Source organism: Homo sapiens, chromosome Y (assembly GCF_000001405.40).
Source record: "Homo sapiens chromosome Y, GRCh38.p14 Primary Assembly".
Classification (NCBI taxonomy): Eukaryota; Metazoa; Chordata; class Mammalia; order Primates; family Hominidae; genus Homo; species Homo sapiens.
In genome coordinates, this window is record NC_000024.10 from 332543 (window position 1) to 355980 (window position 23438).

General features: G+C 62.4%; 1 protein-coding gene across 8 annotated transcripts in view; it reads right to left on the reverse strand.

Annotated features, from left to right (window-relative positions):
- PPP2R3B (protein phosphatase 2 regulatory subunit B''beta) overlaps positions 1391 to 23438 on the reverse strand; it is a 52975-nt gene continuing 30927 nt past the window's right edge. For 5 of the 8 annotated variants that reach the window (XM_047442723.1, XM_047442726.1, XM_047442727.1 and 2 more), the window contains 11 exons: positions 15048 to 15151; positions 14692 to 14794; positions 14159 to 14233; positions 13632 to 13718; positions 12974 to 13130; positions 9341 to 9389; positions 8765 to 8854; positions 8223 to 8398; positions 6236 to 6354; positions 6062 to 6168; positions 1696 to 2521 (listed from right to left, as the gene is read on the reverse strand). In XM_047442723.1, the coding sequence (XP_047298679.1) occupies positions 1825 to 2521; positions 6062 to 6168; positions 6236 to 6354; positions 8223 to 8398; positions 8765 to 8854; positions 9341 to 9389; positions 12974 to 13130; positions 13632 to 13718; positions 14159 to 14233; positions 14692 to 14794; positions 15048 to 15151 (1764 nt within the window). In that variant the 3' untranslated portion in view covers positions 1696 to 1824. Of the gene's footprint in view, positions 3457 to 6061; positions 6169 to 6235; positions 6355 to 8222; positions 8399 to 8764; positions 8855 to 9340; positions 9390 to 12973; positions 13131 to 13631; positions 13719 to 14158; positions 14234 to 14691; positions 14795 to 15047; positions 15152 to 23438 lie in introns of all 8 variants that reach the window. The other 3 variants (NM_013239.5, XM_047442728.1, XM_011545630.4) reach the window with 2 other exon arrangements.

Here is a 23438-nt window from a genome sequence, read left to right on the forward strand (position 1 = left end):
TGGCTTCTGGCGGGACGCTGGCCACGGTCAGGGTGCCCCGAGTGCTTGTTTTGTGGGGTCCCTGGCCCCCTGCACACGTGAGCCCTCGGGGGAATGGACCCCCAGAACACGTGGAGGGCATGACTGCTGGGCTCTGGGTCTCCCCGCAGCGCCGCCGTCCACGAGGACCCCCGACAGGACCCCCCCACTTCTCCGGCAAAGGTGTCGGTGTGCACGCCCGGCCCCGGCACTGCCCGGGGCATCTGGGGTTGTGGCTGGGGAAGGACGGGGCACTTGGGGGAATGCATTGGGTACAGGGATGTCGGAGGATGCTCAGTGGCTGTGCAGGGGCCTCACCAGCGTCGTGGGTGGGGGACGCTGTCTTTCACGGCCCCAGGGAGGCCTCTCATGTCTCAGCCTTGAACCCTAATTGGGGGGGCTCCCAGTGTCAGTGTGGGGAGGCTGAGGGCGCTGGTCAGAGCCCTCCCATGACCATGGGCTCCGGCTCATAGGTGTGTGTGTGTTGGGGGGTGGTGTCCGGAGGTGGTGTGGGGCGGACATGGTCTCCCAGACGGGCTCCCCGGAGCTGAGGGCAGGGTGGGCCCTGCGGGCCGTGGCTCCCAGTGTCATTTCCCTGCGGCAGAACCTCCTGCCCTGCACCTGTCCTGTTGTTGGGGGTCCTGACCCTTCGCAGACCCAGGTGGGGGCATCCGGGAATTCAGGGGAGCACCTGGTGACACTGAGGACACCTTGGGGACAGCAGCATTCCCCCGGGAGGTGCTGCCTCGTCTACCCACCACCTGGAGCCCCCGCAGTCTCTCCTCAGGGGTCACGGGACCACCCTGTGCGTCCGCCTCCTTCACAGCGACGGCTGCCGGTGGATGAACGGGGTGCGTATGCTGCTCTCGGGGTGGTCCCGGCTTGGCCCTGCCCTGCCGCGTGGACGCTGCCACCTCCGTTTCCTGGGGGAGAGTTTTGTCGTGTGTGAGGACGGGGTTGTTCCCATGGTCACCACCTGTGACCCTCACCTGCGTGCAGAGGGAGCACAGCTGGGCCTGGGCTCATCCACGTCGGGTGCCCCTGGGGTGCTTGTGGCCTCCCCTGCACAGGGAGCTCCTCCTGGTGGGGCCTCCGACCCCCCTCATTTAGGTGTCCCCCAGCTGTGGACGTCCCCACTCTGGCGCGGGCTCCTTCCTTCTGGGGTCGTTTGTGGAACGGGGCCTGGGTCCGTGGCTCCGGGAGGGAACGGCCCCGAGGGTGGGGTCCCCCTGGCTGGGGAGGGGCCCCGCAGAGAGGCCCAGGCTGCACCCCGAGGCGTCTGGCGTGGCTGCGGTCCCCCTCCAGCACTGACGCTTGTAAATCCTGGACGGAGCCACGCTGTGGCTGAGGGAGCCGAGCCCGTGACTGAAAATCCTCCAAACGTACAAGCGTGATCGCCAGAAACGGTTTTGTACGTTTACACAAAACATTCACACAGCCTGTGGTGGAGGCTCCTGTCCAGGACTGAGGCGCCCGGGAGCCGCCGGTCACCGTTGTGCGCACACGGACCCTTTCCACAGACGCAGGCCCCGGAACCCAGGCTGGGTCGGGAACGGCAAGCGCCAGAGGGTGTCCGTGTGGGAACCCGTCCCATTCACGCGCGGCCCTACGTGTCCCCCTGGCACAGAGCTCTGGGCAGGTCCAGCCACGAACCCACAGCGGCAATCAACACGCTTCTGTGAATAAATAAAAGTTTATCATTCCGTACAAACGCACTCATTTTCCACAACAGTTTTTACACGAGCCGCGGTGGCCCGGTGGTGGCACGTGGGGAGCGGCCCCGCGGCGGCGTTCTCGCGGGCGGCGTCACAGCGGCTCCAGGTCCTCGTCCCCGCATGCGTACTCGTACAGGTCCACGGCGCCCAGCGGTGAGGGCGCCTCGAAGAAGGGCCTCTGGGCCAGCGGGGAGCGCAGCGCACTCAGCTTCTGCTCCACAGGGCTGAGCTCGGCCTCGAACCTGCAACGAGGGGATGGCGAAGACGTGGCCAGCAGCGCGGAGCAGGCCCTGGGCCGTTTTCCGGGAAACACAGGCTGCTCGGCCGCCAACCTCCAGCACGAGACAGTCCCCTGAGCCGACCTTGAGCTCCAGCCGCTGAGCCAGCAACGCGCTCCTGGCTGAGGACGCCGGCTCCACGAATGCTCCCGGGGGAGGGGCCTGCGGTGCAGGTGAAAACCCACCCAGGACGGGACGGAGCCCCGGGCGTGAGCTACACACAGAGGACCTGGGCGGGCGCGCCTCTTCCCCAAAGCGAGCTGCACGGGACCTGTGTTTACAACTGGGTCGTGGTGTCCACACAGGACTGGAGAACAAACAGGACCACAGTTTAGACACATTCTCCCAAAGCACAGAAGCTCCCAGTGGAGGCTACCACTTCCGTTCTGACCAGAACACGCAGCAGTGCGAGGACTGGACGCGCGCCTTCCCTTAAGGTCTCGGCAGTGACGTCGGGCGCTGCTCCGGGGAACCCAGCGCGGCCACGGACCACACAGACTCTCAGAGATCCTGTGGGGACACCTCTGCTTTCCAAGACGCCCCCGACAGCCTGGCACTGAGCTCCCCGCGGTCACCCCCACGGACCTGAGCTCCCACTGCCGGAGCAGGCGTGGACACGGTGAAGGCAGTCGACCCCAGCGTGCTGCTGGCTGTGCCGCAGACACAAAGCCGGGCAGCCGTGGGGGTGGACACTGGTCAGGTGGGGAGCAGAGGTGACAGACGGTGGTGGGGACAGGCGCACACCCATCCAGGCTAGGTCTGGGGGCCACAGCTGCCTTAGGGTGTCCGACAGGAGAAGGCAGAGACTGGGAAGTTGTGGGGACCCAGAGGTTGGCTGCCAGGTCAGAGCCACCGTGCAAACAATGACCACGAGGAGGACGGACACACAGGACAGACGGCCCAGGGTGGGCCGCAGGGGCCCTGTGCTGCTTGGCAGGAATCGGACGGGGCGGCTGATGGGGGAGCAGGGGTTAAAATGCACGTCCATGGAACCCATGGGTCGGGAACCCAACGGTAACCAGAAAGTATTTTGAGCTGCACCAAAATCAGAAGGCCGCGGGCTGCGGTGTCCATGGCCCACGTCGCTGCCTGAAGATACTCAAGGAAAACAGCAGAACAAAGGGGAGAAACACCCGTGGTTCCCTGGGAAGAGGAGTGAACCTCGTCGGCCCCTCGCCTCACTGATCACACACAAAGTCAGTATCAGGAGCGTGAGAGACGCTATCACTGGATTCTGCAGACATCAGAGTCACGAGCAGGAAATACCAACAATAACCCACTGATGGGAACGGGCAAGTTTCCGAAACACACAAACCAGCAAAGCTCACTCAAGGCTGGGCAGGGGCTCACACCTGTAATTCCGGCACGTTGGGGGACCGAGGCGGGGAGAACCCTCGAGCTCAGGCATCCAAGACCAACCTGGGCAACACGGTGAAACCCCATCTCTACAAAAAAATACAAAAAAGTAGCCGGGTGTGGTGGTGCGTGCCTGGAAGCCCAGCTACTCGGGGGGCTCAGGTGCGAGGATTCCTTAAGCCCAGCAGGTGGAGGGTGCAGTGAGCTGAGATTGCGCCAATGCCCTCCAGCCTGCGTGACACAGCCAGACCCTGTCTCCAAAAAAATAATAAAATACTACAGATAATCTCTGCAAAGAGAATCCAGTAATATGTGAGGATAACACATGACTCGGCAAGATCTATCCTGGGAACACGAGGCTGGCTGAAAATGACTCGGTGTAACTCGCTGTATGGACACACAGAGGAACCACGGAGCGAAAGCATCTGAGAAATTCGGCCCCCACTGCGAGAAAGCCCCCGCAGACCAGGAAGAGGGAGAACATCCTCGCCAATGAGCGTGCTTACCGCTGCGTGAGGGGAGACGTCCCCCAGGACTGGGAACGAGGACGGCACACAAACCAGCAGGGCTCACTCAAGGCTGGCCGTGGTCTGCCCTGACATCCACCACATCTCCCTGCGGGTTCCAGGCCATGCAGCAGGCAAGAGAAAGGAAGTAACGTACACAGAGAGGTGAAAAGGAAGACGAGAGACGGACCCACTGACAGACATGGGCTGTCCACGCAGAAAACCCCAAAGAACCGACAGAGCTTTGAGATCCAGTAAGTGAGTTTCATGAAGGTGCAAAACACAAGGTCAATAAATTCTATATGCTACCAACGAACAACTGGAAACGGGAACCTTAAAAGCACCGCTGACAACAGGAAAACATCAGGAAACACTCAGAAGTCTCACAACATTCGCATCAAGCGTACACGGAAAGCTACAAAAATCCTGCCGAGAGACACGGACGGCGCCCATGGACTGGGCCTCCTGCGGTTATGAAGGCGGCAGCTGGGCCCACAGGGATCCATTCACTCAGCGAGATCTCACTCAAAAGTTCAGATTGTTTGTTTTTGTTTTGGAAATGGAGTTTTGCTCTCGTTGCCCGGGCTGGAGTGCAGTGGCGCGATCTTGGCTCACTGCAACCTGCACCTCCCGAGTAGCTGGGATTACAGACGTGTGCCACCATCCCTGGCTTTTTTTTTTTGGAGACGGAGTCTCGCTCTGTCACCCAGGCTGGAGTGTGGTGGCGCGATCTCGGCTCACTGCAAGCTCCGCCTCCCAGATTCACGCCATTCTCTTGCCTCAGCCTCCCGAGTAGCTGGGACTACAGGCGCCCGCCACCACGCCTGGCTAATTTTTTTTTTGTTTAGTAGAGACGGGGTTTCACCATGTTGGCCAGGATGGTCTCGATCTCCTGACCTCGTGATCCGCCCTCCTCAGCCTCCCAAAGTGCTGGGATGACAGGCGTGAGCCACCGCGCCCGGCCAGAAGGAGCCTATTCTTATGTGTTTTCATACAAAGGCAAAGAAACCAGAATAGCCAACGTAGCGCGGGACAGAAGCAGAACTGAGAAGCTCAGCACGGGATGGCAAAAGTGACCACGTCGCTCCAGCGTGCACCACGGGAGGCCGGTGGGGGCCACAGTCCACGTGGTCCCGGGACCAGCACTCACCACCACGTCAGAGTCCAACACACGTTCCCACAGGACGGCAGAGCAAGGACGGGCTGAGTCTAAGATTCACACACAGGCAGCCCAACACCAGAATGGCCCCGACAGTTCCACACGGCGCCCAAGTCGGAGGCTTCTCACCACAGCCAGCTCTGCCGCGGGAACGGACAGACGCGTGCAGCAGTGGGACGGAGGAAGGTTCCGGAACGGAGCCCGCACACGGCACAGTCACGACGCCGAGGCAACGCTGCGGCCTGCAAAGCTGATGCTGGGACAGTCGGACACCCGGACACCCACGTACCACAAGGGGAACCTCAATCCGAGCTTCACACCCCACAGGGAAGGTTACTCAAGAGGACCCCAGACCAAAACACAAAACATCGCAGAGGAAAATCTTCGTGGCTTTGGATTCAGAAATGAATTCTTAGATATGACACCAGAAACACCGCTGTAAAAATAACCAGTCAGTGTCTCCTCCTCCAAATTCAGAACATCTCTGAGACACCACGTGAAGAGGGGGTGAAAACATACGTCACAAACTGGGAAAAAGGCGAACACGTCGCAAATAAAGGGTTTGTATGCTGAAGACACGAAGAACCCTCACGCTCCGTGAGAAAGCAACCAGCCCAGGGCCTCTCAGGGCCTCCAAGGCTGGAAGGCCGAAGCGGAGGCTGGAATGGCCACGGGCCCTGCAGCCTGCCCAGCAGGTGCCAGCCGTGGGATAAGGACAGACGTCGTTGGCGAAACACGACTCGGCCTCCCCGTGCTGGGCCTGATGTGCGAAGCCTCGCGCCCAGGATCACAGAACCCCACGCGGGGAATGACGGGCAGACTGCACCGAGGCCCGGCCCTGTCATCGGCTGTCCTTACCTCACCGGCCCCGTGTCAGGTCTCACCCCGCCCCTCTGTGTCCGCGCACCCCACCTGACTGACCCCGCATCCCCCGGCTGCACACACACCCGTCCTCCCACTCACCCGTCCTCCCCACTCACCCGTCCTCCCACTGACCCGTCCCCCCACTCACCCGTCCTCCCCACTCACCCGTCCTCCCAGGGCTCTCCCGCAGTCTCCTCGGCCACCAGGATGTCGTACTCCTCGGCCGCGTACTTCTCCCAGTCCGAGAGCTCGGGGCCGCCGCTGTCACCGTCCTGGAGGAAGCACACGGGTTACGTACACGGCGTGGCGCGGCCCGGCCCGCGTGCCCGCCGCACTCACCCTGAGCAGGGAGATCTGCTCTTTCTGCTCGTGGTCGAGGTACTTCTCGATGTTGAAGAAGGTGTCGAAGAAGACGTTAGCCAGCTTGCAGCGCTTCAGGTCCTGCAGCGTGATCTTCCCTGCGGGGAGGGGAGTGCGTCCAAGGCGCGTGAGCCCGGTCTCACCTTCGGGGCCTGGGTGTGGGGTGCGCGCGTCCTGTCACACGTGCTTAAGGACGCGGCACGAAGCTCCGGGCTCTCACGCCACGTGTTTGACGTGAAAGGCGGACACGCGAGTGTCCTGGTTCTGGGTGGGGACTGAGGCGTGGGAGGCCGTGATGCGGAGGCGACTAGGGGCCACCGGTGCCCCAAGGATGCGTGGACTGGGACTAGCGCAGGGAGGCGCGGCCAGCAGGGGCGCTGCTGGATCTGAAATTACAGAGAACGGAGCTCCCCGTGCAGGCAGAGGCCAGAGGGTGTCCCGGGGACACTGAGCAGCAGGAGGCGCCCCATGGCCGGGGGGGGCAGGGCTGCAGGGCGGTGCCCGGGCCTCAGAGCCATTTCCAAAGTGAAAGTCCCAGAGCTGGATTCTGAGATGCAGAAGGAAGCCAGGCGGCGTGGACGGTGGGGCTCCCCTTTGCCTTAGAGGGCACGGGGGTGGGTGGGAGGAGCTGGGGAGATGGTGTGGGGGGAACAGGGGTGAGGGGAGGAGCCGGGGGGGGGTGAGAGGGGAGGAGCCGGGGGGGTGAGAGGGGAGGAGCCGGGGGGGGTGAGAGGGGAGGAGCCGGGGGGGGGTGAGAGGGGAGGAGCCGGGGGGGGTGAGAGGGGAGGAGCCGGGGGGGGATGAGAGGGGAGGAGCCGGGGGGGTGAGAGGGGAGGAGCCGGGGGGGTGAGAGGGGAGGAGCCGGGGGGGGGTGAGAGGGGAGGAGCCGGGGGGGGGTGAGAGGGGAGGAGCCGGGGGGGGGGTGAGAGGGGAGGAGCCGGGGGGGGTGAGAGGGGAGGAGCCGGGGGGGGTGAGAGGGGAGGAGCCGGGGGGGGTGAGAAGGGAGGAGCCGGAGGGGGTGAGAGGGGAGGAGCCGGGGGGGGGTGAGAGGGGAGGAGCCGGGGGGGGGTGAGAGGGGAGGAGCCGGGGGGGGGTGAGAGGGGAGGAGCTGGGGGGGGTGAGAGGGGAGGAGCCGGGGGGGTGAGAGGGGAGGAGCCGGGGGGGTGAGAGGGGAGGAGCCGGGGGGGTGAGAGGGGAGGAGATGGGGGGGGTGAGAGGGGAGGAGATGGGGGGGGTGAGAGGGGAGGAGATGGGGGGGGTGAGAGGGGAGGAGATGGGGGGGTGAGAGGGGAGGAGATGGGGGGGGTGAGAGGGGAGGAGATGGGGGGGGCGAGAGGGGGGGAGGAGCCGGGGGGGGTGAGAAGGGAGGAGACGGGGGGGGCGGGGTGAGAGGGGAGGAGACGGGGGGGGGGGGGGTGAGGGGAGGACCGCCTTGTGCGGCATCAGCACGAACGTGGCAACTGCTCCCTCAGCCCAGTGCCAACGTCCCCGGTGAGCTCCGGCCCTAGGTTCTCTAGGTCACCCCTCGGGGGGTGTCGACGCCCCGAATAGGAGGTTCTTGCACTGTGAGACTAGGCACCTGTGGTGCTGGCCCTCCTCACAAACTCAGTAGGACAGCGCCTCACAGGGACGTCCCCTCACCCTGGTCCGTCCCCCCTCCCGTCTGTCCCCTCACCCTGGGCCGTCCCCCCTCCCGTCCGTCCCCTCACCCTGGGCCGTCCCCCCTCCCGTCCGTCCCCTCACCCTGGGCCGTCCCCCCTCCCGTCCGTCCCCTCACCCTGGGCCGTCCTCCCTCCCGTCCGTCCCCTCTCCCTGGGCCGTCCTCCCTCCCGTCCGTCCCCTCTCCCTGGGCTGTCATCCGTCCCCTCTCCCTGGGCCGTCCTCTCGCCCGTCCGTCCCCTCACCCTGGGCCGTCCTCTCGCCCGTCCGTCCCCTCACCCTGGGCCATGCCCTCACGGGGCATCACCTTCAGTCCTCGGCTTGACCAGGTCCAGCATCTGGCAGAGGCAGTCCTGGAAGGGCAGGGCCTCGATGGCCATGCTGTCCAGCCTTCGGCACTGCTCCTCGTAGAAGTACTCGAGCTCGAACATGGACAGGGCGCCGTCCCCGTCCAGGTCCATGCAGCGGAACCAGTACTCGATGCTGCGGCACGGCGAGCTCTGTCAGCCCCTGCCCTGGGCCCTCCCAGCCCGTGACCTGCAGCCCCTGAGGCAGCCCCCACCGGGGGTGCACGCGTCCCCGCTGTGCCTTGCAGCCCCCACCGGGCGTGCAGGCATCCCCTGCCCCCTGCCGCCCCCACCGGGCGCGCACGCGTCCCCCTGTGCCGTGCAGCCCCCACCAGGCGTGCACATGTCCCCCTGTGCCGTGCAGCCCCCACCGGGCGTGCACATGTCCCCCTGTGCCGTGCAGCCCCCACCAGGCGTGCAGGCATCCGCCTGGGGACACATGTCACATGGGCGGCTCCCGGCCCCTCCACTGGGACAAACGCATGCCGCAGCAGGAACCCACCTGGTCGGTGTTTTTTTGTCTTCCTCAGAGATCAAAAACCAGACAAAGTCGGCATAGCTGATCTTCCCTTCCTTCTGCACTTTTCTGCCTCTAGATCGAAAGCCAGGATGGAGAGACGAAGATGCATGTCAGGGAGAGCTTCACAGGAACGGAGCCCCTGTCCACGCGCCTCGGTGAGGGGAGCCCCCCGGGCCCGGCCCTCCTCCTGCCCCCCTCCTGCCCCTCCTCCTGCCTCTCCGGGGAGGAGGTGGAGGCCCCGTGGCCAGAGGGTTTTCCCCAGATCCAGGCAGGGTCAGGAGTGCACCTTCGTTACTGCTCACTCAGGCCCAGCGCCCGACAAGAACCCCCGACCTGGGGCCTGGGCCACCCCCTTCCTCAGACTTCGCGTGACAGTCTTGTGCCACCCCCCCCCACTAGGGATTCACGTGACAGAGACACGTGCCCCCCTCGCCAGGGCCTGGGGTGACAACCACTCGCTGTCGGGGCACAAAAAGCTCACGTCAGGCAACGATGAGGAGAGGGACCGGGGTCCTCGCAGGGGCAATGGCTGCCGTCAGGCGCCTGAGCCGTACGTACCGTGTGACTGCTCCTGAGAAGATCCTGTCTATCATCTTGGTAGAAAGGGCTGGAAAGGAATGCGGTTGATGGGCAGCCCGCACCGTGCCTCGGCCCCGACGTCACCACCCCCCGGAGCCGAGACTGGATGCGGTGGGGACCGAAAAGCTGAGAGGACGCCTGGGTCTGGGAGAGCCCCGGGGCCCCGATGCCCCTGCACGGCCCATCCTAGGGGCCCACCACGCTTTCCCGTCGAGCAGAGCCAAGTCCAGCATGAAATCCACAGAGCGCAAAGCTGACCGCGGCTCCAAGACCGACTTGTAAAGAGCAGAATATTCAGGCCTCAAAGGTACAGCTTTCAGACGGAGAGAGAGACCTCGAGTGTGATCACGGAAACAAACACGTTTCAACCAAAGGTTCACCAACGGGAGACGGGAGTGAGACCTCAGCAACGGGAGGCGGGAGTGAGACCTCAGCAACGGGAGGCGGGAGTGAGACCTCAGCAACGGGAGGCGGGAGTGAGACCTCAGCAACGGGAGGCGGGAGTGAGACCTCAGCAACGGGAGGCGGGAGGGAGACCTCAGCAACGGGAGGCGGGAGGGAGACCTCAGCAACGGGAGGCGGGAGGGAGACCTCGCCAACGGGAGGCGGGAGGGAGACCTCGCCAACGGGAGGCGGGAGGGAGACCTCGCCAACGGGAGGCGGGAGTGAGACCTCGCCAACGGGAGGCGGGAGTGAGACCTCGCCAACGGGAGGCGGGAGTGAGACCTCGCCAACGGGAGGCGGGAGTGAGACCTCGCCAACGGGAGGCGGGAGTGAGACCTCGCCAACGGGAGGCGGGAGTGAGACCTCGCCAACGGGAGGCGGGAGTGAGACCTCGCCAACGGGAGGCGGGAGTGAGACCTCGCCAACGGGAGGCGGGAGGGAGACCTCAGCAACGGGAGGCGGGAGGGAGACCTCAGCAACGGGAGGCGGGAGGGAGACCTCAGCAACGGGAGGCGGGAGGGAGACCTCAGCAACGGGAGGCGGGAGGGAGACCTCAGCAACGGGAGGCGGGAGGGAGACCTCGCCAAGGAGAGGCGGGAGTGAGACCTCGCCAACGGGAGGCGGGAGTGAGACCTCGCCAACGGGAGGCGGGAGTGAGACCTCAGCAACGGGAGGCGGGAGTGAGACCTCAGCAACGGGAGGCGGGAGTGAGACCTCGCCAAGGAGAGGCGGGAGTGAGACCTCGCCAACGGGAGGCGGGAGGGAGACCTCGCCAACGGGAGGCGGGAGGGAGACCTCGCCAACGGGAGGCGGGAGGGAGACCTCGCCAACGGGAGGCGGGAGGGAGACCTCGCCAACGGGAGGCGGGAGGGAGACCTCGCCAACGGGAGGCGGGAGGGAGACCTCGCCAACGGGAGGCGGGAGGGAGACCTCGCCAACGGGAGGCGGGAGGGAGACCTCGCCAACGGGAGGCGGGAGGGAGACCTCGCCAACGGGAGGCGGGAGGGAGACCTCGCCAACGGGAGGCGGGAGGGAGACCTCGCCAACGGGAGGCGGGAGGGAGACCTCGCCAACGGGAGGCGGGAGGGAGACCTCGCCAACGGGAGGCGGGAGGGAGACCTCGCCAACGGGAGGCGGGAGGGAGACCTCGCCAACGGGAGGCGGGAGGGAGACCTCGCCAACGGGAGGCGGGAGTGAGACCTCGCCAACGGGAGGCGGGAGTGAGACCTCGCCAACGGGAGGCGGGAGTGAGACCTCGCCAACGGGAGGCGGGAGTGAGACCTCGCCAACGGGAGGCGGGAGTGAGACCTCGCCAACGGGAGGCGGGAGGGAGACCTCGCCAACGGGAGGCGGGAGTGAGACCTCAGCAACGGGAGGCGGGAGTGAGACCTCACCAAGGAGACGCGGGAGTGAGACCTCAGCAACGGGAGGGGGGGAGGGAGACCTCACCAAGGAGACGCGGGAGTGAGACCTCAGCAACGGGAGGCGGTAGGGAGACCTCACCAAGGAGACGCGGGAGTGAGACCTCAGCAACGGGAGGCGGGAGGGAGACCTCACCAAGGAGAGGCGGGAGGGAGACCTCAGCAACGGGAGGCGGGAGGGAGACCTCAGCAACGGGAGGCGGGAGGGAGACCTCAGCAACGGGAGGCGGGAGGGAGACGTCGCCAAGGAGAGGCGGGAGGGAGACGTCGCCAACGGGAGGCGGGAGGGAGACGTCGCCAACGGGAGGCGGGAGGGAGACCTCACCAACGGGAGGCGGGAGTGAGACCTCACCAACGGGAGGCGGGAGGGAGACCTCAGCAACGGGAGGCGGGAGGGAGACCTCACCAACGGGAGGCGGGAGTGAGACCTCAGCAACGGGAGGCGGGATTGAGACCTCACCAACGGGAGGCCGGAGTGAGACCTCACCAAGGAGAGGCGGGAGTGAGACCTCACCAACGGGAGGCCGGAGTGAGACCTCACCAACGGGAGGCGGGAGGGAGACCTCACCAACGGGAGGCAGGAGTGAAAGCACCGTCGCCGTCAGCTTGGGCCACGAGAAGGTCCCGCAGCCTGGGCGGCCATCCCTGCGGTCACCGGTGTCCCTGGGACGCACGAGCCAAGGTGCCGCCCCCCGCTTCAGGCCGCAGTGCGTGAGAAACAGCGCAGCCCGGCCGCACACGGCATCCTGCCCTGGGACCGAGAGTGGGCTCCAGAGGAACGCGGAAAGCTGGGGCCGCGCCGGGCCGGGGGTTCACAGGGACAGTGAGCGCCTGGTTCTGGGCCGATTCCCAGCTGTGCAGGTGCTGGCCCAGGCCACACGGGCCGGCGCTGTGGAGCTGTGCTCTCCTCGTGGCTAGTTAGGGGCCCAGGGCGCAGGTGGCTCCCTGAACTGAGCGCAGGACAAATCCAGGGAATGCTACGTCTGCTCAGGTGCGCGTCCGACGCAGGGATCTACTGCGGCCACGCGACCCAGGACCAGCCCCGGGAGACGCAGACGGGTGCAGCTCACGTTCGGGGAACCAGGCGTATTATGAGTCGACCACACACAACAGATGCCACCGTAATTCGGAAACAGTCTTGGTCATATGGTTTTTTGGGGTAAAAAGCACACTTAAAGGAATCCTTTAGAAAACTCAAGCCCCACAGGCCACAGGCCGCTTTGAGTTCCTGCAAGTGTGGATGACTCTTAGAGGGGCCGGGAGGCAGTGGCTGCTGTGAGGACACCTGGGCGGCACCGGCTCCCGCGGAGGTATATGAACGACCGCTAAGCCTGGGGCTCCACCTAGCCCGGGATTGGATGGAAACTGCTCCAGGCCTTGGGGGCTGGAACCTGGAGCTCCTGAGGGAAGGCGTGTGGCCTGCCCGCCCTTGCTCGGGTGTTAACAAGGAAGCCCCACAGCGCTGCTGGCCCTCGGGCCAGGAGCTTCAGGACCAGCGGCCCACACTGACCCTGTAGACGCCCCCAGGCAGAGGCCTCGGGCAGAGGCGCACGCGGGGACCCAGACACGGGGCAGCGACTGGGGAAGGAGAGGCAGCTGCAGACACAGAGCGGCGAGTGCGAAGGAGAGGCAGCTGCAGACACAGAGCTGGGAGTGCGGAAGGAGAGGCAGCTGCAGACCCGCAGGCCCTGAGAGAAGGGTGTGCTCGGTGTCCGCGCGGCCCGCCCGCCCCTGTGCCCCCACGCACCGTGGTCATTGTGCCGCGCCAGGTCGTCCGCGTCGATGAGCAGGTCGTGGTCCGTGTCCAGCTCCCAGAACTTGCAGTAGATGACGTAGAAATGCTCGTACGAGAAGAATTCGGTCAGCTGGTTGATGTCCGCCTCCTCCTCCAGCAGCGCCACATTCTGCCAAAGGACCCAGGCGGCCTGAGCGCGGGGCCTCTGCGGGGATGCCCCAAGTCCGCCTGGCTGCGGGCGGGGCAGGGAAGGCTGGGAGGGTCGGGGCCGCTCCGTGGGTGGGGGGGACTGGGCAGCTGGGGCCGGGGGGCACTCCGAGTGGGGGCAACTCTGCGGTGGGGGGAGCTCCAGCATGGGGGTGGCTCCCTAGGCGGGTGTGGGGGTGGGGGCAGCTCTGGGGGAGTCAGGGCTCGGCTCCCCCTCAGGGTGGTGCCCAGTACGGCCCCACCCGCCTCCTAGATCAACCGTGGACCCCCAACCGCAGGCGGCGGGGTTCCAGTGCTCACAGGCCTGGGGGTGGGCTGGGAGCGCGGTGGAGGTGGGGGTGGGGGTGGGGGTGGGAGAGGGGGTGGGAGGGGAGGAGGGAGGGGGGAGGAGGGAAGGGAAGGGAGTGGAGGTAGGAGGGGTAGGGACAAGGCAGGGGGCAGGGGACAGGGGGCCGCTCCGCACCTGCAGGAAGGAGCTCCTCCGCAGCTCGGCGCAGGTGATCCTGCCGGACCAGGACCGGTTCACGGCGTAGAAGATCCGCTGGATGACCTGCGGGGGCGCTGTCAGTGCGGTGGGTGCGCAGAGACCCCCAGGAGCCTCGCCCCGCACGGAGACCGGGAGCCGGGAGAGGGGCGCGCCCTTGGTCTCAGCCGCACGGGGCCGCCAGGGCACAGGCGGGGGCAGAGGGAAGGGCCCTGCGGGAGGCGCCGCCCCAGGCCGCGGAAAGCGGGGAGGGTCTGGCCGGGGACGCCCCGGAGCTACACGGGCCCAGGACAGGTGGGAAGGGGGTGCGGCCACCCCGGAAAACCAGAGTCCCCCCAACACCGGGCTCCCGGGCGGGTGGAGACTCTCCCAGAGCGCGGCCGCCTCCTCCGGAAGCTCAGGAACCCCGGGCCCCGCCCGCCCCGTCCGCAGAAGCCCCGCGGCGGCCGCTGCAGAAACACCCGCGCCCCGCGCTGGAACCGACGGCCCCTCCGCTGGGGACCCACCGTGGTGATGTAGCGCGAGTGGAACTCGGACGCCTCCTTCAGGAACGACAGCCCCGGGTGCGTGTTCACCACGTCCTGCGGGTGGGAAGACACGAGGCGCGTGGTGTAGACGCCGGCCCTCCCGTGAGGTGTGCGGTGTGGACGCTGCAGACGCGGACCCTCCCGTGAGCGATGAGGTGTGCGGTGTAGACGCCGGCCCTCCCGTGAGGGATGAGGCGTATGGTGTAGACGCCGGCCCTCCCGTGAGGGATGAGGCATGTGGTGTAGACGCGGGCCCTCCCGTGAGGTGTGCAGTGTAGACGCGGACCCTCCCGTGAGCGATGAGGTGTGCGGTGTAGACGCGGACCCTCCCATGAGGGATGAGGCATGTGGTGTAGACGCGGGCCCTCCCATGAGGTGTGCGGTGTAGACGCGGACCCTCCCGTGAGGGATGAGGCGTGTGGTGTAGACGCCGGCCCTCCCATGAGGCATGCGGTGTAGACGCGGGCCCTCCCGTGAAGGATAAGGCCTGTGGTGTAGACGCAGGCTCTCACCTGCAAGAAGGGGACAAAGTCCTCCTGCACCAGGTAGTTGCAGCCGGGGCTCATGAGCAGATGGACGAACTTGGCCGCGTCGTCGTGGCAGTTCTGGAGGATTCTGGAAGGACAGGATGACTGGGCACCACCCTCACAGGGGGGTGGCTTTCGACCCCGCAGACGCAGGGTGGAACACGTGTGTGGTGTTCCACGTGGTGCGTGGCAGGTGGCCACACACGACGGCCAGGCCTGTGCCCGTACAAGGGTTTCTCCTCTCACTGCGGCAGCCTCAGGGGGCACCCGTCCTGGCACCACGGGGACCCGGGGACGCCTCCGCCCTCCCGACACAGCCCCCTGCCCAGCCCAGGACTCACTTTCTCCACATGGCGACGAACTTGTGGACGGACACGGAGCCCGTGCGCTCCCCGCCGGCGCCATAGAAGAGCGGCCCCTTCCAGTAGAGGGGGCAGCCGCAGGCCTGGGGCAGAGAGGGCAGGAGTGGGCAGTCAGCAGGGCCTGGACGCCGGCGCTCCTGCTGCGTACCTCGCGCCTGACCGACGCCGCCCAGAGACCCTCTGCTGCAGAAAGACACAGCACGCTCAGCGCGGCCTGTCTGGGCATCTGCAAACTCAACGTGGCTTTCGCTCCAGCCTTCAATCAGTCATGAGAGCTGAGCGTGGGAGTGCCGGGCACGCAGTATCCCCTGACCACAGACCACGCGTGGGCACTGTAACCAGAGGCGGCTGCATCCCCAGCGTCTGGAAATCAAGCGGCACGTACTAAGAACCAGTAAGTACGGGAATAAATGGCCCCGTCAGCCAGGCAACGCGGTGAATCGGACGGCGACAGAAACATCTCATGGAATGTGTGGGACGCACCTACAGCAGCGACCCATGGCAGGTTCACAGCCTTAAATACACGCGTGAGGAAGGAAAGTTTAAAATCGATCGTCTACACTTCTACCCCAAAGGAACAAATACATGGCAGAGATGGAACGCAAAGTAAATAGTAACAGAAAATCAACAAAATCAAAACTCGATGATTTGAAAGATTTCTTAAAAATTAATTAACCCTGGCTGGCTGGGCGTGGTGGCTCATGCCTGTAATCCCAGCACTTTAGGAGGCCGAGGGGGGTGGATCACCTGAGGTCAGGAGTTCGAGACCAGCCTGGCCAACATGGTGAAACCTCGTCTCTACTAAAAACACAAAAATTAGCCTGGCATGGTGGCGGGCGCCTGTAATCCCAGCTACTCGGGAGGCTGAGGCAGGAGAATCACTTGATCCTGGGAGGTGGAGGTTGCAGTAAGCCACGATCACACCACTGCACTCCAGCCTGGGTGACAGAGAGAGACTCTGTCTCAAAAAAAGAGCAAATACAGATTAGCCATGTCAGCTGTAACTACAGATCCTACAAACATCAGATAGTGGATGCTCATGAATCACTTTATGCCTGTAAGTCAGATGACTGCTGAAACAGACTCCCCGATGAACAAGTCAAAAAATAAACTACAATAGAAAATCTGAAAGAGCTGTTTCTGCAAGAAATTGTGTCCATAATTTAAAACTGTCCCACCAAGAAAATTCCAGCCCCCAAAGGCTGCTCCCATGAGTCGACCAAACATTGAAGGAAGAAATCACACATGCGTTCCCCTGGAGAAGAAAAACGAGGGGCGTTTCCCAGTGCCTGTTCCGAGGCTGGCACAGCCTGGACGCGGTCAGGGACACAGGAAGTCACAGGCCAGTTATCACTGGAGAGCAGAGGCAGAAATCCCACACAGAACACACAGTAGCAAGTCCAACTCGGCAATAATAGAACAGGAATATCTAATAATAATAATAGACCAGGAAACCAGAATCAGGAGGGACACTCTTATTCTCATAAAGGGTGCTATGGCCTGAATGCCTGGGTCCCCAAGATCCACGTGCTGAAATCCTCTCCCCCGAGGCGATGGTGTTGGGAGGTGGGGCCTCATGAATGCGATGAGTCCCCTTCTGAGGGACCCCAGAGAGCTCCCTCACCCCTTCCACCCCGTGAGGACGCAGCGGGAAGGCGCCGTCGATGAACCAGGCACCACTCTGCCACACCGAGATCTTCCAGCCTGCAGACCTGTGAACAGTAAATGTCTTGCTGGTGACAAGCTGCCCGGGCTATGGTGTTTCTTGACAGCAGCCTGAATGCTCAGACAAAGGGCCTCTACGAAACACCCCAGCTGCTCAGACAGCGATGACACATGAACACTTCTTCCCTGTGCTGGGAACAAGAGGACAGTGTCACCACCAAGGCCGCCTGGACGGCCGAGCCAGGGCAGCAGGCAAGGGAAAGACCGAAAGATACGACGACGGGTAAGAAGAGGCAGAACCGTCATGATTCACAAGCAACACACTGTGTAGACAATCCAAATGCTTACCAAATACGGGAATTAATAAGTATCTTCAGCAAAGTTGCTGGATCCAAGGACTATATGCAAAAATAAATTATTTCAATATACTGGCAACAAACAACTAAAAATAAAATCTTCAATAATGCCATCTATCAAGAGCATGAAAAATCAACCTACGAAAAATGGAACAAAAATCACACACAGTGTCTACAAAGCAAACTGCAGGGCACGGCTGGGTGAAATCAAAGACGACCTCAACGTGGTGAGGTGGACCTCACTGCTGAGTTCACAGACTGCAGTTTCCTCCAGACGACTCTGTTGACCCAGAGTCCACGCGATCCCCACCCACAGAGTCCAGCAATCCCCATCCACATGCACCGAGGGCCTGTTGTTTTGGGGTTTGTAGTATACACGGACAGGCTCATGTGAAAACTTACCAGGGAACACAAAAGAACTCACAGGGGGACCAAGTTGGTGGATATGAGTCCCACTGCCCGGTTTCAACCCTTCCTGTAAAGTCAGAGTAATGAAGACTCAGTCAGTCTCTGTCGGGCACCGGTGGCCTAAGAGAGCAAGGGAAGGAAGTGAGTTGGGACAGAGCCCCGTGGAATATCCACAGGCAAAGACACTTCACACAAACTGAATACCAGGGGATCCCAGCCCGAAGGGTGAAAGGCCAAACAGCGGCCCCTCCTGGAAGGAAACGAGGGACGCTGCACGGCTCTGCCGCGGCCAAGGTTTCTTTCACGGGCCACACGTGCGCTCCCTGAAGGAAGGGAGCACCGCTGCACCGCCCCAGCGCAGGACTCAGGGTCAGCTACCGGCACGGTGAACACCATGACAGGACATGACACAGAGGGAGAAATGTCTCTGCAAGGCGAGATTCTGACGAGGGACTCAGAGGCAGAATTTTAAGCATCAGTGAGAAAGAGGCCCGAACACGACCGAGTGGACATGCACTGCCCTCCGGAGAGGGGTGCACGGTGGCCGTAGACAAGGGGAAGCGCCCAGCACTGGCGCCGGCGAGGGCAGGGTTCACAGGGCATGGAGAGGTGGCAACAAGAACATGACACGCGCGGCTGAGACAAAAAGGACTGAAGACGCCAGGTCCCGCGAGGCTGCCAGGCAGCTGGGTGTCCTCCGCGTTGCTGGGGGAACTGGGACGCCACGCAGCTGCCGGGAAAGCGGCCCACGGGGCGGCTGAGCGTAAAGCCCCGTGGCCCGGCCAGGACATCTGTCCTCCCAGAAGCACACCAGTGGGAAGAGGGCCCGTGCCCGTGAGAGCCTGCACAGATGGGGACGTCGGCTGCTTGGTTCACGGTGCCCCAGGCGAGAGGAGCCGGACGCCAGAGCAGGGACTGGAGGAATAAACTGTGGCAGAGTCGTCCTGACAGGTGCAGGGCGGGAGTGACCACGGGGGGGCGTGGGGGACTGCAGAGGGGGCTGCGCGCCACAGCGGGGATTGCAGTGCTGCTATGGGAAAGGACGCGCTCCGGCTGGCGCACCTGTGGATGACTTGAAGGCAGCCGTGTGCGGCTGGAGGGGCCGGGCCCCGCAGGACGCACAGGCACGTGCCGGCTCCCGTGATGAGGATCCTGACGGAGCTCAGCCCTGGCCACCTGGAAGGGCGTCCCGGTGCGGTGGGAGGGAACGAGCCGGGTGCAGCACCGGGTCCTTGGGCTAGTGCTAGTCCCACGCTTTTGACCTCATGAGACCATTCTGGCTCACAGGCCGTGCAGGTTTCAAACCCCAAGCGCTCAACACCCAGGGATGGGGGGATGTGTGAGCCTTCACATCTGTGCTCCTCACCGCGTGCAAGACACACCGTCATGACCCGGTGGCAGGGATGGAGCATCAGATCTATCCAGCCGTGCAGGATATAGCGTCTCATGTGTCCAGACCTGCAGGCTGGAGTGCAGTGTGTGATCACAGCGTGATCCATTTTTATTCTACTTGTTTTTCGAGACACGGTCTTGCTGTTGCCCAGGCTGGAGTGCAGTGTGTGATCACAGCGTGATCCATTTTTATTCTACTTGTTTTTCGAGACACGGTCTTGCTGTTGCCCAGGCTGGAGTGCAGTGTGTGATCACAGCGTGATCCATTTTTATTCTACTTGTTTTTCGAGACACGGTCTTGCTGTTGCCCAGGCTGGAGTGCAGTGTGTGATCACAGCTCAGTGCAGTCTCAACTTCACGGGCTCAAGCAATCCTCCCACCTTAGCCTCCCAAGTAGCTGGGACCACAGGTGCGCGCTATCATGCCTGGGTAATTTTTTTAATTTCTACAGTGAAGTCTCACTATGTTGCCGAGGCTGGTCTGGAACCCTTGGCCGCAAGCCATCCTCCCGCCTTGGCCTCTCAAAGTGCTGGGACTACAGGGATGACACTGCAACCAGAGACAGCTGCACCCCCGGCGTCTGGGGGATGAGAACTGAGCGGGAGAGTGCTGGGCACACAGTCCCCCCACCACACCAAACCCGAAAATTACCTCCAAATGAATTAGCTCATAATTTAAAATAATCCTAAAGTAAATGGAGATAATCAACTCTAAAATGCAAAAGATACAAAGGAAAGCAGTTTTACCTGAATGTCACAAAATCCTTATGGGAAAGGGAATAAAACATCAGATACCCTGATCTGACTTTTAAAAGTCTTTTCGTGATCGACACACAGAAAGACCGACTCCTTGTGGGGCCCGGCAACGCGGCGGCACGCCCACCCGCACGGCCAGGACAGGGAACGAGGCCGCCAGCCCTGACAGTCCCTTCGGCCCCTCCGCAGTCCGCTACGGCGACGGCCCCCAGGCCTCCTCCCCGTGGCTCCAGTTCACCTTTTCCAGGACACGGCAACGGGACCCGGCCATCTGCGGACTTTTAGACCTGGCTTCCCTCGCTCAGCACATGCGTGTGGGACTCACACACCTTGCTCTGTGTGGATCGTCTGCCCACCTTGCTCTGTGTGGATCGTCTGCCTGTGTACTGCTGAACCCTATTCCATTATGGCTCTGCTGACCTCAGAGTAGCTCCCTGAGCAGGAAACACCGCCGGCCCCAAGGCCCACGTGATGGTGCTGCTGAGGGGGACTCGCGAGGCAGACAAAGTCCCGAGCGTCTACAGTCGCACAGGGCACGCCGACACCAACCGACAGGTGTGAGAGGAGAAAGGAGGACGCCACAACCACGGCCGGCAAGTTCAGCACGCGTTCCTCGGCGGGTGACGGGACAAGAGGACGATCTGCAGACACGTAAAGATGTGAAAACGCTGCCAAGCTATGTGAGCGAGTGACATCGCGGAGCCGGAGGAGTCTTCAGGGTCACATGAACCAGTGGTGGGCTGTGGCTCGGAGCCCCCACCCAAGTCTCACGGGGAACTGTGATCCTGAGTGTTGGAGCAGGGCTCTGCTGGGGGGTGACTGGGTGATGAGGGTGGACAGCCCCCTTGCTGGTCTCGTAATCCTGAGTTCTTGTGAGATCCGATGGTCTAAAAGTGGGTGGCAGTGGCCGGGTGCGGTGGCTCAGGCCTGTCATCCCAGCACTTTGAGACGCCAAGGCGGGTGGATCACCCGAGGTCAAGAGTTCGAGACCAGCATGGCCAACATGGTGAAACCCCATCTCTCCTAAAAATACACAAATTAGCCGGGTGTGGTGGCGCATGCCTGTAATCCCAGCTACCCAGGAGGCTGAGGCAGGAGAATGGCTTGAACCCAGGAGGCGGAGGTTGCAGTGAGGTGAGATGGTGCCATTGCACTCCAGCTTGGGTGACAGAGCAAGACTCTGTCTCCAAAAAAAAAAGAGAAAAGATGATACAGACAGCCTGTGTTTATTGAAACAATTCATGCTGTCATTAAAAACCTTCCCACAGAGAAAACTATCCCAAATGGCTTCACTGATGAGTTCTACCAAACATTCAAATAAAAATAACACCCATTCTAAACAAATGGCTCCAGAAAAGTGAATTCTAAAGGACATTTTCCAAGCAACTCTCCGAGGCCAGCATCCCCCCGATGCTAAACCAGACCAAGCTATCACAAGAAAAGGAGACCGCAGGCCAGTCCTTCACGAGCGCAGACGCAACCCCTGCGAGGCCTGGCAATGTGGACCCAACACATAGGAGAAGTGTGACACTGTGTGGTGGACCAGGGACCGGGGGCTGGGGGCTCACCCAAAGACCGGGGGCTCACCCAAAGACCGGGGCTCACCCAAAGACTGGGGCTCACCCAAGGAGCAGGGGCTCGCCCAAAGACCGGGGCTCGCCCAGGGACCGGGGGCTCACCCAAAGACCAGGGCTCACCCAAAGACCGGGGGCTCACCCAAAGACTGGGGCTCGCCCAGGGACCGGGGGCTCACCCAGGGAGCAGGGGCTCACCCAAAGACCAGGGCTCACCCAAAGACCAGGGCTCATCCAAAGACCGGGGCTCACCCAGGGAGCAGGGGCTCGCCCAGGGACCAGGGGCTCACCCAAAGACCGGGGCTCGCCCAAAGACCGGGGCTCACCCAGGGACCAGGGGCTCGCCCAAACACAGGGGGCTCACCCAAAGACTGGGGGCTCACCCAAACACCGGGGGCTCACCCAGGGACTAGGGGCTCACCCAAACACCGGGGGCTCACCCAGGGACCGGGGGCTCACCCAGGGACCGGGGGCTCACCCAAACACTGGGGGCTCACCCAAACACCAGGGGCTCACCCAAACACCGGGGCTGCCTTCACACTCAGACGTCAGTCAGGTCAAGACCAGTCCTTCATGACCACAGACGCTACCCCTGCGTGGCCGGGCAATGCACGCTGCGGTGGAACAGGGACCGGGGGCTCACCCAAGGACCGGGGCTGCCTTCACACTCAGACGTCAGTCAGGTCCATTCACCTTTTACAGGACCAAAGGAAAACCTCACTGCCCTCTCAATACACGCAGAAATACACATTTAGCATCCCGGACAAACTTCAAGGCACTTTTATAATTTTAAAAAGTAAACTGAGGCCAGGCGTGATGGCTCATGCCTGTCATCATCCCAGCACCATGAGAGGCTGAGGCAAGAGGATCCTTCCAGCCCAGGAGTTCCAGACCAGCCTGGGCAACATAGCAGAACCCTGTCTCTACCAAAAAAGAAAAAATCAGCCAGGTGTGGTGGCGGGTGCCAGTAGTCACGGCTACTCGGGAGGGCTGAGGTGGGTGGATCACTGGAGCCCAGGAGGTCGAGGCTGCAGTGAGCTGAGATCATGCCACTGCACTCCAGCCCGGGGGCAGAATGAGAACCTGTCTCAAAAAAAACACAAGAGCTCCCAGCAAACAAGAAACCAAAAGGGAAGGGGCCTCCTGAGTCTGATGAAGGACGCCAGGCAGGGCCGCTGCGTCACGGACGACTTGAGCCCGAGGCGGGAAGGGGCGTGCTCTCCACGGCTCTCCAGCACTGCACTGGCAGGCCGAGCCTGTGTACAGAAAGTCAGGGAGGAGACACCGATGCAGACGAGAAGAGAAAGGCTGAACTGTGCTCACCTGAAGATGACCTGACCGTGCGTTAGAGACTCTGCCGGACTTAAAGGTTGAGCTGGTAGAGCCGATGACTGAGTTAAACTTGGTCAGAAAATGCAAAGTCCACATATAAAACCTAACAGTGCTTCTCAACATTCACAATTGACAATCATATTAAAGTAAAAAAATACCACGTACAGTGTCATCAGAAACAGGAAATGCTTGGGTATCAATGTGATGAACCGTGAACAAGACCAAACTACAAGGCGTACTGAAAGAAGTGAAAGATGCCTGAAATAAGGGAGAGCTGGACCGCGTTCATGAGACGGAAGCCTCAATATGGTCAAGATTCTTCCAAGTTCATCTGGAGTCAACAGGATGCCCATGTAATCCCAGCAGGCTGTCGTAGCAACGGAGGGACCGGCTCTAAAATTCACACGGTGGGAACGAACAACGGTGCAGCCACTCGGGAAGACAGCGTGCAGGTTCCCCAGAAAGCCGGAAGTGGAACTGCACGCGCACACGGAACACCACGCGATCCGGCCCTCCACACACGCACATGGAACACCGTGCTGTATATGCCACAAACGTCTCCGAGTTCTGTGCTCCAAATGGTTACGGTGGTGAATTCTGTTGTGTGAATTTTCCCATAATAAAAAAAAGTGCCTGCTGTCTGATTCTGTTTACATAAAATTCCAGAAAATTCCGGCTAATCTATATTGACAGAAAGGAGGCCTGAGGTAGCGTGGGATGAGGGCAGGTGCGCGTCAGAAAGCAGCAGAGAAAAGTCCAGCGCACGTGCCCGCTCAAGCGCAAGGATGCAGGGACGCCTATTGTCTTGGTGCTGTGGATAGTTTCATGGGTGGGTACAGACGTCAAAGCTCATTGAATTGTACCTTCCACACGCACCATGCATCCCAC